The 15,515-nt window shown below is 35.1% G+C and overlaps 1 long non-coding RNA gene across 1 annotated transcript in view, besides 1 other annotated feature; it reads left to right on the forward strand.

Moving 5' to 3' along the window:
* LINC02267 (long intergenic non-protein coding RNA 2267) overlaps positions 1-15,515 on the forward strand; it is a 507,713-nt gene that overhangs the window by 337,672 nt on the left and 154,526 nt on the right. The window lies entirely within an intron of this gene.
* Positions 1,251-1,451: a silencer, noted in NCBI's record as "peak5081 fragment used in MPRA reporter construct". NCBI's record gives its function as "represses an SCP1 promoter by STARR-seq MPRAs in K562 erythroleukemia cells {active_cell/tissue: K562}" and the evidence as "EXISTENCE:reporter gene assay evidence [ECO:0000049][PMID:32103011]".

Here is a 15,515-nt window from a genome sequence, read left to right on the forward strand (position 1 = left end):
AGAAAAGAAAGAAAGAAAGAAGAAAGAAAGAAAGAAAGAAAGAAAGAAAGAAAGAAAGAAAGAAAGAAAGAAAGAAAGAAAGGAAGAAAGGAAGGAAAGAAGGAAGGAAGGAAGGAAAGAAAGAAAAGAATTAGGAGAAAAAATTATGAAAAATAAAAATTCAGAGATTTGTGAGAAAATATCAAGGATATCAACATGGATGTAATGTGATTGCCAGATAGAAAAAAGGAAGGGCAGAAAAATATTGGAAGAAATGAGGCTTAAAAATGTCCCACATTTGATGTAAATATTAATTTACAGATCCAAGAAGCTCAACAATTCCTACATAGGATAAACACAAAGATATCTAAACCTAGATATACCAAAGTCAAATTGCTGAAAAACAAAGAGAAATTCTTCAATACAGTAGGAGAGAAACAACTCAACATGCTAAGTAATAGCCATGCAATTGATAAATTACTTATAGTTTGAAATAATGAAGGCCGGAAGGCAGTGGGATTTACACATTTCCTGCAGTCTATTTTATAGATTCCTAAGCCAGAAGTTTCATTGCTTCTACAAAAGTATGTTACACTTCCTAATGCCTTTCCTTATATCTTTGGTAATCAGTTAAGGATCTCTTTTTCTCTCTTTCTTTCTACCTATCTCTCTGTATCAGAAAAAAATACATTATTCAACATGCTGATATACTTTTTATCTTCAAGTGTTTAACTTTGTGTTTCAATAATTTGTATTCACTTCAATCAATTATAGCATTTTTTATTGTTAGAGGAGACCTGGATATAGTTAAATATTAGTGTACTCTCTTGAGACCAAATAATGATTGTTGCGTTTGCCAATAAATTCAGAGGGAAAGTGCATTTTTAAAAAAATGTTGAGTTCTAAAGCATAGAGCACATATAAATTGATTTTGGGTGACCAATATGTGAAGTTTTGTGATTTTGAGGTTATCTTGTTCTATGTGGAAGAAATTTTATGAGACAGAGTCCATCCTACCAAAACAGCACAGCAAAAAAATCCTTCACACTGTCTCAAATACCAAAGTATCCCTTTGAGCTATTTTACCTCTTGAACACTAGCCCTAATATTATTTTTAGTCTAATTAACATATAAACAATATTTGGGGCTGCAATTTTTTTGTAATTAAATGTAATTTTTGGCAACTCAATCCTTTGAGAAGGCCTGGAAAAATGTTAACTTGTGTAACTAATGTAAAACTAGGGACTAATTTTCCTATTAGTCCCTAGTTTTTAGTGACTGGGTGTCATGAGTCAAGGTTTCAGCATTCAGCAGGACTACTAGCTGGCTGCTATTTCTATGATCCTCTGATACCCTTTGACCCATCCCAGCCTACAGCTTTCAGGCACTTCCTCTTGTACGCTTCTACCCACATCTCAAACCACAAAACTACTGTTTAAGGCAGACTAAGGTATGAATCAGAGCACTGAGTAGAGTCAATACACCTCTATTTTATTTGGTACCCATAACTCACCTCTGCTCTCTCAAAGCAATAAGAAAATCTTTTCAGGCTACCATGACTTCCCAAGTAGAAGCTAGAGATGAAGAAGCCTGGATTTAGTTTTGTGATTTTTATCTTTTAATAACAGTACATTTGAACAATAAGTACATTTTGAAAGCCTAGGAATCAAACAAGCTAACATTATGGTGATGACTTTTGAAATATGGATTTTAGCCTACATGGCAATTTAATTGCTAGTTAGAAGCAAATCCTGTCCTGTAGCAATAGGGTTAGTCAGTATTTCTCAAAATTCAATACTGAGCTATTGATTCATGGCTGCTATGATATGAAGGCTTGCTGAAATAGCAAGGGTTTCCAGTTAAGGTAATTCTGAGCAATAAAATTGTTTAAAGGAAAAAGCTGTTAAGATAACAAATACATTCAAGTCAAACCAAACCAGACTATTAGGAACTTGAAAATCTGTAAACTTGATTAATAGTGGCTGTGTTGTTTAGATTTGAAAAGTAGGAAAGCCATGCTTTTAAAATGATTTCTTTACTACTGTTTCCAAAAGCAGTTCAGCTACTTGTTGCAATAAATCTGCTGGAAATATTTTTCTGAACAAGAAAATATAATCTCACACATAATAAGACCTAGAGTCTTGACAATAATAAAGGATATATGAAATTAGTATGGACTACATTTATTCAGGCCCAAAATCTTTTGTGTGCCTTTTCCTCTCCCTATGGCTTTGTGAACACGTCTGTCCAACACTGATATTTCTTACAAGTGTCAGGAAGAGAGAAAGTTATTAAATAGGTAAAAATCGCCCTAAATGCCTCAAACTCCTTAAATATATGCCAGTTTTCCTCCATACCTCATACCTACTCAGTATTTATTGCTTTCTTTTCTTATGTTCAAAATCTTTCAAATCTTTATTTTCCTAATTTTTTTGTATCAAGTTAATAAAGAAGATATACTACAGTGTTTTCCTTCCTCATAGTACTTGCATTTTCACCATTAAATACATTTTAAGTGATAAGTGTGATGCTCACCAGAGGTCCTGAATTTGAAAGAAATTTTCCACGTTAATGTTTTTCAATTCAGTGATGTGAGAAAAACAAAATTTCGGCCGGGCGCGGTGGCTCACGCCTGTAATCCCAGCACTTTGGGAGGCCGAGGCGGGTGGATCATGAGGTCAGGAGATCGAGACCATCCTGGCTAACAAGGTGAAACCCCGTCTCTACTAAAAATACAAAAAATTAGCCGGGCGCGGTGGCGGGCGCCTGTAGTCCCAGCTACTGGGGAGGCTGAGGCAGGAGAATGGCGTTGAACCCGGGAAGCGGAGCTTGCAGTGAGCCGAGATTGTGCCACTGCAGTCCGCAGTCCAGCCTGGGCGACAGAGCGAGACTCCGTCTCAAAAAAAAAAAAAAAAACAAACAAAATTTCTAGGACACTTGCATGAAAATGTATGTGGGTGAGGAGGAGAAGGGATTGTCCGGATGTAAATATGACTCCTTGGACAATTATGACACATTTGTTCCACTCCCCACTTTATGACTGAAAAACAGTCACCTGTCTATCAAGTCAACTTAAATCAGTACCATCACCCTTCATTCTGTTGCCAGCCACTTCTGCTTTCACCTACTTTCAGATTCTGTCCCATATCATGAGGAACCTTTGTCAGATAAAGCCCAATAACTAGCATAGGATATGAAGTTGTGTCAAATAACAGGTATTAGAAAATAAGGAACATGCTTCCTTATCTGATAAAATTTATTCCTTTAGGACAATTCTGGTTGGTCTGAGAGTTGATTTCTTCCCTTAGACAGATAGTCTATAGCAGTGCTTCTCAACCTTCAGTGTACATTAGGATCATCTTGAGAGCTTTTAAAAACATCAATGTCTGGCCTCAACCCAAGGATCTTCATTTAATTGATTTAGGAAGAAGCCTGGACATTGATTGTTTTTAAAGTTTCCAGAGTTATTCTAATATGCAGCTGAAGTCTCGAATGTTGAGGCCCCCTCAAAAGCCATAGTGCAAACAATATGTTATTTTATTATAGTTTAAAAAGTAATGTATATTTATTTTGGTGTATTCTTAGGGTTTATTCACATTTAATCTTCTTTCATTTTCAAAATGTGATATATGAAGGTAGTCTGACATATTACAAAAGTGTAAAGGGTTAATTGACTAAATAAGGTCCTCCTATAGGTAGTTCATGCCAGATAGTGAAATCCAACTATGCTATACTATGCTGTGCTATAAATGGCTAGCCGAGGATTCTTTCTAAAAGAATGTATTTTCCTAAAGAGACTTCTCTTGAATTCTGATCCTATAAGAAGTCATCTGAAAGGGTATATTGATCAAATAAGCTGGGAAAATTCTTTAGAACATATGTTAGTTTTGAATATTTTTAATAAGGTTGATTTTTTTTAAAGACAGGGTTCTGCTTTGTCACCCAGGCTGGAATGCAGTGGTGGAATCATAGCTCACTATAACCTCAAACTCTTGCCCTTAAGCAATCCTCCACCTCAGCCTTCCAAAGTATTGAATTATAGGTGCGAGTCACTGCACCAGGTCTGAATTGATTATTTAAAACTGCTCTTTGAAGTCCTCTAGTGAAATAAATCATTTGGGGTAATTCAGCCTGCATTTTCCTAACTCATTTGACTATAAAATATGTTTTGTAATAACACATAGTAATATTTAGCAAATCTTAATCTAAACACATGTTGAAAATCACTGTCCTATATCACACTGTTCTACTTCACATATACAATAAACTGCATTAAAGAATCTTTATAAAATGTTATGAATTAATGATATTTCCTAAAATTCAGAATGCTAGAGAGTGTCTTACTCTCCTACCATCTATAATAAGATAGTGTAAGTTCCAAAAAAATACTCTAATAGTGTTTTTTAACTTATGGAAATGGCTGCAAATCTATTGAATATTTTGTGTTTAAAAATTCACTTAAAGTGTGATCATAATAGAAAAAATACAAATTGGACTTTTTATATTAGATGAGATCACAAACATTTATGTTTCCATCTATATATTACTGATGGCAGTGGCGGCCTATCAGGAGCGGCCGCTGTGTAGTCACCAGCTGCTACAGGTGAGGCACCTCCAGGGCTGTGAGCTCCATGTGCGCTCCACTGAGTCTGCAGGAGCTGGGAACAGATAGGAGACCCGCTTTCTTCTGAGTTGGCGGAGAGGGAGCCCTGCCTCCTGGGAGCAGCTGCAGCTGCCCAACCATACATTGCTGCATTCCCACAGGGTCTCGGAATCCCTCCCTACCCCTAGGGGCTAGGAAGTGCTGCTCTGGCTACCTGGCCTCTTCCTGCTCCCTGTGCCTGCTTTGATTTTGCAAAGTTGAGGCTGAGCCTGGGCACTGTCATGATCTGGCTGGATGTGTACTCACTCAGGGCGGCACTGACATGCCAGCCCCCTGCTGCTTAGGCCCCCTCCAGGCTTTGGGTGCTGACGAGCACAGGAGGGAGGTAAAGAGGGTGTTGAGGGCATCTTGGCAGGGACCTAAAGGCACTACTCTCCATGAACAACATGACTGATGGCAGCAGGAGGCAGACAGGCTCCTGGATGGAAAGTGGTAGGTCCCCGGTGAAGCCCCACCTTCAAGCCAGGGACAGCCGGAGGCATGGGAGCTTGGCTGTCAGTTCTGGGTGGAGTCCACAGCCTAAAGTGAGAACTTACGGAGATTTTTACAGGCCCACCCGTGGCCACAATGGACCAATCAGGACTCACTTCCTCTCTTCTGAAGCACATAAAACCCCCTGGAATCAGCCATACTCACAGAAACATCAGGACTACCAGTTATGGGAAGGAGCTAACCAGTTTGGATCTCTTCCACTCATAGTGATGACCTGCCTGCAGAAAAGACCTCCCCACTCTGGATCTCCTCTCCACCGAGACCTGGACATTCATTGGGATGACCTGCCTGTGGAAAGGAGCTACCCACCCTGGGTCTCCTGAGAGCTGGTCTGTCACTCAGTGAAGCTCCTTTCTGTCTTGCTCACCTTCCAGGTGTCTGTGTACTTCATTCTTCCTGGATGTGGGACAAGAATTTGGGACCTGCCGAATGGTGAGACTGAAAGAGCTATAACACACACACGGCTGAAATGCCCCCACTCACCCCATGTATCGTGATATGGGTGGCATGAAGGAGAGAACAGGTGCAGCCCTTTGGGGAACCCAGATCTGGGGGAACCCTGCCTGTGACAACCTCTTTGGGGCTCTGCCATTCCTGGTGTCTCTAAGCTTCCAGGCTCCACCGCGTTCCCCTCGTTCAGACACAGGTGCCCACAGTGGAAGCCATGTGCAGTACATATGGTTCAGCACAGCCTCACACAGAGCTGGAACCTGTGTGAGCACCTGGAGCTGCCCTCCCTGCCACAGCAGCCAGCATGCCTGACTGTGCGCAGTAGCCAGACCCTGTGGTTGCTCACCCACACATCCCTCATTGCTTTGCACTTGGCTTGCCCTTGGCAGGTGCGGGATCTGGGCTGGTAGTGCAAGCCAAGTGCAGCCTGCCAGGCTGAGTGGGTTGAATGAGCCCAGTGGGCACGAGAAATATTCAGGCAGAAGGTGCCACAGCCACAGAGGTTTCTGGATGGTGAAGTGATACCCCAAGGGTCCAGTGACATTGCTATGTAAACGCTAATTTATTTTACCAATTTCTGTTAAGTACTGTTAAAGTTTAAGTACATTTTTGGCATTTCGGTGTTTTCTGCTACACTCAACTTTAAAATATTTCTATGTAGCTTCAGTTGAGCATTCAGTTCAAAAGAATCATACAACTAGAAAGATAGATATAGTGCCTTTTCTTTTTGTAATGAAAGCATGCTGAATAGTGATGCCCATGTTGCCCTTTGCCTAATAGAAGACCCTATTGATTCATATTTGCTCAATCATACATTTACGTGGAGACTGTTATCATAGTGTGTGTTCTACAGATGGTAACTTAAAAGCGCACACATGCACACACACACACACACACACACACACACAATGTTTACCTTTCATTAACCACTTATGTTTATTGGATATATAATGAATTTAACTGCATATTCTGTAGCTTTAAAGTCTGTCTTTTAGATTTACATTTTTGGTTTTGTTCTCATTTGTTAAGATATTGGCCTATGTCATGAATCATGGCCAAATCTATGTATGTATCGATTTTCTATTTTAAGGGTAATTTCCATTTTAAAATCATCACCAAATAATTTTTCTTTATTATCCTATGTGCTTCTGGGTGTTTCTCTCTGACATTAATTTAATTCAATGATTATTTTTTCATGATAGGGTAATAATAATTGAGAAATCATGGTTAGTCATAAGGGAATGCCTTCTGAAGGAACGCTGAAATCCTCCTATGGGTTATCTAATATTGGCTATACATAATGTTCATAGATTCATTTTCAAAACACTTAGCAAAGTGTTCAAAACGCTTAGTAATTGGCTGTTTTGCTTTATTCATACTATAATACCTGTTTATAATAGATGGGAAATCTCATGTTTTAAATATGAGTTTCTTTTAGCAGATTTGTATTCATATAAACAACCGACAATCATTAGAGAATGACAGAAATTTTGTGAAGAAATAATGCAGGAAGTAAATGCATAAATATTTCTAAGCTATTGGTAATTCTTGTCATGTTATCCCCTATTTTTAGGAACCTAAAGTAAACTCACTGAAATGAAACAATAAGATACAATGTCATGTTTCTTTCCCTTGGACATTTTCAACAGCAGGAGGTATCCAATGATTGTCAGGTGGCTTTTGTCACTGATGAATACCAACGAAGTAAAGAATTGTAATTTAAGCTAAGTTTGGTTTCTAGAGACCTAGTTTAAAAATTCTGAAACCACTCATTTTATTTTGCTATACCCCTAACTTCAGTACCTTCCTCAGTTGCCTCTACTTTTCTTTTCAGGACTTTTCTTTTCATTAGCAGGCTCAACTAAGTATTTTTCATTGATTTTTTAAATTTGGTCCTACAGTTTGATATCTTTAAAAGTTACCCAAACTCTTCAAAGCATAAAACATCCCCATTAATGAGGCAAATTAACCACCTCTATAATGGTTTATTTTGCCTTTATTTGCTTCAACTTTTACCATGAAAATATTAATTAGATATCTAATCAGTTAAACAAAGAAAAAAATTCTAGTGACAAAATGTGGTCTTCCATTCACTTAAGACTTCAGGATATAAACTTACATGGCAATAGAAACAAGAAGCCTTTTTGTTGAAAGGGAAGTTAGCCTAGTATTCTAAAATTGAATCTTCCAATATCTATGTGCCACTGAAAATGGTGATTTTAATTTTCTAAGAGGAAGTTCCTTCCTTTGTAAAATGATGTAGTTGAATTTGATAATTACTGAGGATTTATTTCTAAAAGGCATATCAACTCAGCATCTAATATAAAATATGCATTTAAAATACATTACAAAGTTAATTTCTACTTAGAATTTAGAACTAAAGAATTCAAGTAAGAAGCTACTTATCAGAAAGCTACAAATAATGTAGAACTGCATTTCTAAAATATCTTAAGCCAGACATAACGCAGTTTTGTCCTAGTATAATTATGTTTACTTGATGCTCATGTGTTTGAAGAGTAAAGCTAATGTACAGCAATACTTCCTGGACACATACAACCTACCATGATTGAACCAAGAAGAAATAAAAATCTAATAGACCAAAACAAGTAATGAGATTGAATTAGTAATTAAAAGTCTTCCAACTTAAAGTCAGAGACTGGATGACTTCATTGCTAAATGCTACCAAATCTCTAAAGCAGAATTAATACTAATTCTTCTCAAACTATTCCAAAAAATTGAAGAGGGGAAAATTCTTTCTAACATCCTATGGGGCCAGTATAACCCTGGTACCTAGCTCAGATAGAGACACAACAGGAAAAGAAAACTACAGGCCAATGTCTCTGATGAACCTAGAAACAAACATTTTCAACAAAATGCTAGCAAACAGAATCCAACAATACATCTAAAAGGTAATACACTATGATCAAATGGGATTGTCCTAGTAATGCGAGGATGGTTTAACATATGCAAATAAATAAACGTCATACATCACATCAATAGGATGAAGGACCAAAACCATATGATCATCTCAATAGATGCAGAAAAAGCTTTTGCTAAAATTTAATATCCTGTCATGAGGAAAACTCATAATAATATAGAATAATAATATAGTCCTCAATAATAAAGGCCATATATGACAAACCCACAGCTAACATCTTCCTCAATGGGACAAACCTAAAAACGTTTCTTCTAAGAACTGGAGCAAGACAAGCATGTCCACTCTCACCACTCTTATTCAACATAGTACTAGAAGTAGTAGCCAGATAGTCAATGAGGCAAGAAAAAGAAACGAAGGGCATACAAATAGAAAAGGGGGAAGTCAAATCATCCCTATGTGCAGATTACAGGATCTCATACAAAGAAAAACCTAAAGTCTCAGCCAACAAACTCTTAGAACTGATACACAAATTCAGTAAAGTTGTAGTATACAAAGTTAATATGTAAACATTAGTAGTGCTTCTACACAAGAACAATGAACTAGCTGAAAAAGAAATCAAGATGATAATCCCATTTATAATAGCTAAAACCAAAAAATAAAATATTTAGAAATGAATTTAACCAAAGGGTGAAAAATACCTCTACAAGGAAAACTACAAAATCCAGATGAAAGAAATTGAGGAAAATACAACCAAATGAAGACATCCTATGCTCATCAATCATAATAATTAATATTGTTAAAATAACAATACTACTCAAAGCAATCTGCCGATTCCATGCAATTTGTATCAAAATACCAATGACATTCTTCACAGAAATAGAAAAAAATCCTAAAATTAGTAAAAAACACAAAAGAACCTGAATATAGCAATCTTGAGAAAAAAAAAAAAAGCTAGAGTTATCAAACTGCCAGGCCTCAAAATGTACTGCAAACTATTGTAACCACAACAGTATGTTACTGGCATAAAAACAGAGACACAGACCAATGGAACAGAAAAAATAACCTAGAAATTAATCCTCATATCTATAGACAACTGATTTTTGACAACAGTGCCAAGAACACTCTTTGAGGAAAGAGCAGTCTCATCAACAAATGATGCTGGAAAACTGGGTAGTAATATGCAGAAGAATGAAACTAGACACCCACATCTCACCCTATACAAAAACCAACACAAAACTGTTCAAATACCTAAATGTAACACCCCCAAAAATAAAACTACTGAAAGAAAACATAGGGGAAATGCTTCAGTACATTGGTCTGGGGATAGATTTTATGAATAAGACCTCAAAAGGACAAGCAACAAAAGCAAAAATAATTAAATGGGATTATATTTAACTAGAAATCTCTGCACAGCAAAGGAAACAAGCAACAGATTGGTAATAAATCCTATAGAATGGGAGAGAATATTTGCAAACTACTCACCCCAAAGAAGATCCATATCCAGAATATACGAGGAATACAAACATCTGGCCAGCAAAAAAAACAAATAATCCAATTTTAAATTGGGCAAATTATCTGTCTGAACTGACATTTCTCAAATGAAGGCAAACAAATGGGCAACAAATAAATGAAAAAATACTCATCCTGGAACCAGTGGCTCATGCCTGTAATCCTAGAACGTTGGGAGTCTGAGACAGATGGACTGCTTGAGCTCAATAGTTCAAGACCAGCCTGGGCAACATGGTGAAACCCCATCTCTACAAAAAATACAAAAATTAGCCTGGAGTGGTGGCATGCACCTGCAGTCCCAGCTACCTGGGGAGTTGAGGCAACAGGATCACTTGAGCTGGGGCGGTTGAGGCTGCAGTGAGCTGAGATTGTGCCACTGTACTCCAGCCTAGGTGACAGAGAAAGACCATCTTAGAAACAAAAAACCCTCAACATCGCTAATCATCAGGAAAATCCAAACCACAGTGAAGTATCATCTCACTTTACTTAAGATGGCTGTTACGAAAAAGACAAAAAGCAAATGCTGGCAATGATGCAGTGAAAAGGAAACACTTATACACCATTGGTGGGATTGGAAACTAGTACAGCTGATATGGAATTTCCTCAAAAAACTACAAATAGAACAACCATATAATCCAGCAATGTTGCCACTGAGAATGTACCCAAAGGAAAAGAAATCATTCTATCAAAGAGAAATCTACACCCCCATGTTTATTGAAGCACTAGTCACAACAACCAAGAATTGGGATCAGGCAAGGTGTCCAACAACAGATGAATGGATAAAGAAAATGTGGTATATATACGCAATTGAAAAAGAAAACAAATGACAACCTGTCATTCTGGGCAACAAGGATAGAACTGGAGGACATTATGTTAAGTGAAATAAGCCAGGAACAGAAAGTTAAACACCACATGGTTTCACTTATCTGTGGAAACTAAGAAAAGTCGATCTCATAGAAGTAAAAAGTAGAACAAAGAACACTTACTAGAGGCTGGGAAAGCAAAAGGAAAGACAGACAGGGAGAGATTTGTTAATGGGTACAGAATTATAGCTAGATAGAACGCATAAGTTCTTGTATTTTATACCACTGCAGAATGACTATAGTTAACAATAATGTTTTAAATAGTTTCAAATAGCTAGAAGGAAGCTAGTGAACAATCCCAACATAAAGAAATGATAAATATTTGAGATGATGGAAATGCTAATTGCCCCATCTGATCACTATACATTTTATGCACTGAAACATCTCTATGTACCCCATGAATATTTATAGTTATTTGTCAATTAAGAAATAAAATACAAACAAATGTATTTGATTCAATATACCTTATTATCCTTCAGAATGCAGTTTACCCAACATTTTTCCTTCTTTTTTTCTTTGTTTCTGTTTTTTTCTCCTCCCCCTTTTCCATTTCTTCCCTCCATTCACTTCCTTTATGTTCACTTCAGAAATATTTTACCAACAAAATACCAAGTTAGAAGTCAAAAAGTAATCACTTATTATTTGCTTTCGTGGTTTTTTTTTTTTTTTTTTTTTTTTTTTTTTTTTTTTTTGGTGAGGCTTTGGACAAAATAAGAATTCCACAATGAAAGTAGAAAATAAGGTAATTCTATCTATTCTCACTTTTACATCCACTACTACAGTGTGAATACGAAATCTTATCTGTCTACCAGATAGTTAATTTTCACATTTAACCTTAGTGAATTTGAATGAACTTTTGAAACTAGAATGTATCAAATGAAATTAAGAAACAATTTTGAAATATAACAGAAGCCTTCCTCTTCCTGGCTCCCACATAAGGATGTTATTCCACTTAAAAATAACCAGTTAATCAATCATATTGATATTGGGAATGTTTGCATATCAGTGTGTAGGACATTAGCTAGTCTACGAGTAACTTAATCTAATAAATGTGCAGGCAAAGTGTGAAGAATAAAAAGTGACAAAAATTGGGTATTTATACAATTCTGCCATAATGTAGCTAAAGTCTCAGGAAAGTCATTTAATCTCTTTGGCCTAATTTTCTACTTTGTAAAATGATTTTCTTCTACATTGTGCAGTAATGTGTAGTTATCATTAAGTAAATTAAAATATAAAATATCCCATTAGAAATCTTAATCTAGTATTTTACCTTTTTGACATTCCTTCTTATGCGAAGAAAAATAAAACCAGAGAAAATTAGGGGAAAAAAGAAAAGAAAAAATTTATTGAATACTTTCATGTGTCTAGGCATCTTTATTTATTGTTTCATTTAATTCTCATAACTACCTTAAGTGGTAAATATTATCTGAATTATAAGGTTGAGGATTTTGTGGCTTTACCAGGTAATTTGGCTAGTATATAATTGATTGATGCAGGTATATACATTGTGAGACTCTCATTCAAATTTTATTTGAGCAATGTGATATTAAATGTGAACACACTCTACCTTTCTATTTCCCAACCAAACATCTCTTCCCTTCCACTACAAGTAAGCAGAAATTCTCTGAAAATAACACACTATTACTGGCAGAAACTGTGTGTTAAGTATATAGCAGCATCTTTTTATGTCCCCAAGGACTTCACACACTTGTGTCACCTTGTTCTTGTTCTTTGAGAAGTTTGTAGTTCTTTTCCTATATTTATACCTCTGACTTATACTTTCTAATTCTGCTACTTAAAAAAAATCTCCTTAGTGTCACATATTGTTTTTTAGTTATTTTTTTAACTCACTGGAGAGAAGGGAACAATTATCCCCATTCTTTGGTAAGGTAAAATAATACATCAAGATCTAAATATTTGTTTGCTTTCATTGGCAATGAGAATGTTCTTAATGGCATTTAACTGTGGTTTGATTGGCTCTCATTACCACTTATTTAATATTTTCTCCCAAATCCTAGGGTATTTTGTATCCTCTCCTTAAGGTACATGAAAGCAAACAGCATTCACCTTAATCTATTCAACTATATTTCACTGAACATAGACTTATTGTCTTGTACTGTACCTTAGAAGACTAATTTAGATTTTGAAAAAATAAAATATATCCATATCTGTAGCATTTTAATTTTCTATTTCTTATTACATAAGCACAAGGCATATATTCTCAGGAAAGTAATAGACCAAAAAGGAAAACTAATCTAAACTAGCAATAAAGTAGTTAATTCTCTTCCTGAAGAGAGTATATACAAATGACCAAAATAACAAATCATTGACCAAATTTTATAGTGTGTTGTATATCTTATAGTCAATGGTGATTTGCAAATAAATGTTTTCAGAGCTAAATTTGTTTCTGTTTGTACTTGATATAATAGATTGTGGCACACAAAGAAAATGAAGTGTGATACACACTTTGAATTGTGTATGTGTGGTTGTGTACACATTAGGGAAACACACACACACACACCCCCACAGGGACACAGACACACATATATTTCAAAGCAGTTGGCAGCTCTGTTCCAAAATACAGGTTGCTATGTGTTAATTTTAAAAACGTTAGAACTTTCATAGAGAGTCAATGTAGTGTTATTGCAACATCTAAAAGAGTTTAGGAAATATTGTACATCAGAGACCTTTATGTGCATTTATTCACTCTAATCTCCCACTGATCAAAACAAATAACCCCAAACTAATAAGGTAGCGTTAACTATGAGAGAGAAAAATTCTAAAAATAATATAATTGTTCTGCAAAGATTTGAATTTTCATGGAAAAATTTCATACTTTTTAAAATAAAATGTTTAGTTGATATCTTTTTCATAAAATGCGGACAATTCTATGATAAACTTATTGTATTCATAATTCCTTATTGAGTAATGTCTATTAATTATTTCTCTCATCAGTGGATAGACCAAAATGTATACACTTGAGAAAAAAGAAATTTATAATTTAGACAATTGGTAAATATTTTTGCTCAGTTTTTGAGCATATTATAAAATATTAAAATGGTTCTTATCTATGAAGTATATGTGTTAAAAAAACACTTAATTTAATAAATCGGGGAAGAATCAATTTTAGATTTAAACAAAATTTAATGAGAAGTTTTAATAGCTATAATTAACAATTAAAACTTTAAGAATACAATGACATAGAATAATCAAATATTTTCTTGCAAAAAAGCATATGATCCAGAGCAACTGACTACTGTACAATCCTAGCATTTTAAACAAAAATAGTGACTGTAGCTTATAGGTATCAGAGAAACATCTTGTAATTTAGTTTAAAAGTTACAATGAGAAGATAGCATGAGAAAAATCTACCAAGAGAACTAAACTTACTTTTTAAACTTAAGCTAATTAGCATATAAGTTATACATTGCCACAATGTCAATATATGAAGACACTAAAATAAAAATAAATAAAAGTATTTTAGTGAAAATACTAAAATAAAAATAAAATTCATTCTGAGCCCTTATTTAAATTACATAAAGGTGAACATAGCCTATGTACATGTATGATTGTGTGCCCCTCATTTTACAAACATAAAATTAAAAACTGGTAGTACCATCACATCTCAAGGTGAGCAGGCACTGGCAAAATTTGCATTATATTTTAGTCATATATCACATTATAAATGCCCAGACAAAAGAAACAGAAGAAAAAACAGAGTATTGGGGTTGCAAATATCATCAGGAGATGCCCAGAAATAAATATAATGTTACTTAAGCATACCATTTAGCATCATATAGATAATTATTTTAATACTTTTCTCAAAAGTCACTAAAAATATAGAACTTAAGTCAAAGTACTGAATATACAGCACTCTTGCAAAGCAGTAGCTGCTTATGTTAACTTAATTCTTATATGTTGTTGCTAAATATGCTTAATAATATATTATTTATTATTATTTAGATTTAACTGTGCAAGTTTTTATACCTTATTTTTTTCTGATTTATTGTTTTGCATGTTGTTTCTTTAAGATATGATAAGAATAGAATATAATAGTGTATCATAGAGTGCAATGCTATTTCTATAATTGGGTTGGTATCATTTGTATAGATATGTTACTTGAAAGTAGACCAGTAGAGTTCAGCTCTACTTACCAGCTACGTAGAGCAAGTCATTAATTGCTCTGAATATCAATTTTATCATATGTAAAATTGAGTTAATAATAAGATTAAAAACTACCACATAGGGTAAACATACAGATGGCAAGAAGATATGCAGATGGCATATAAGAACATAAAACGATGTCCAACATCATTTGTCATTAGGAAATGCAAATTAAAACCCCAAAGAGACATAGATAAAAAACTGCTCATCTATCTGAATAGCTAATATGGAAAAAAACTGACAACAACAAATGCTGGTGAGGATGAGAAATAACAAGGACTGTCATTCACTGCTGATGGAATGATGAAGTGGTAGAGTGGTAGAGCCACTTGAGAAGAGAGTTTGGCAAATGTTTATAAAGTTAAACAAGCACTTACCATTCAACCAGCAATCACAATATTAGTTATTTATCCAAGGCATTTTAAAACTTATATTCTCAAAACATTCTGAATGGGAATGTCAATGGCAGCTTTATCTGTAATAGTCAAAAACTTGAACCAAGCGTTGGAACTCAGAA

The sequence above is a fragment of the Homo sapiens genome, chromosome 4, assembly GCF_000001405.40.
Source record: "Homo sapiens chromosome 4, GRCh38.p14 Primary Assembly".
Lineage (NCBI taxonomy): Eukaryota > Metazoa > Chordata > Mammalia > Primates > Hominidae > Homo > Homo sapiens.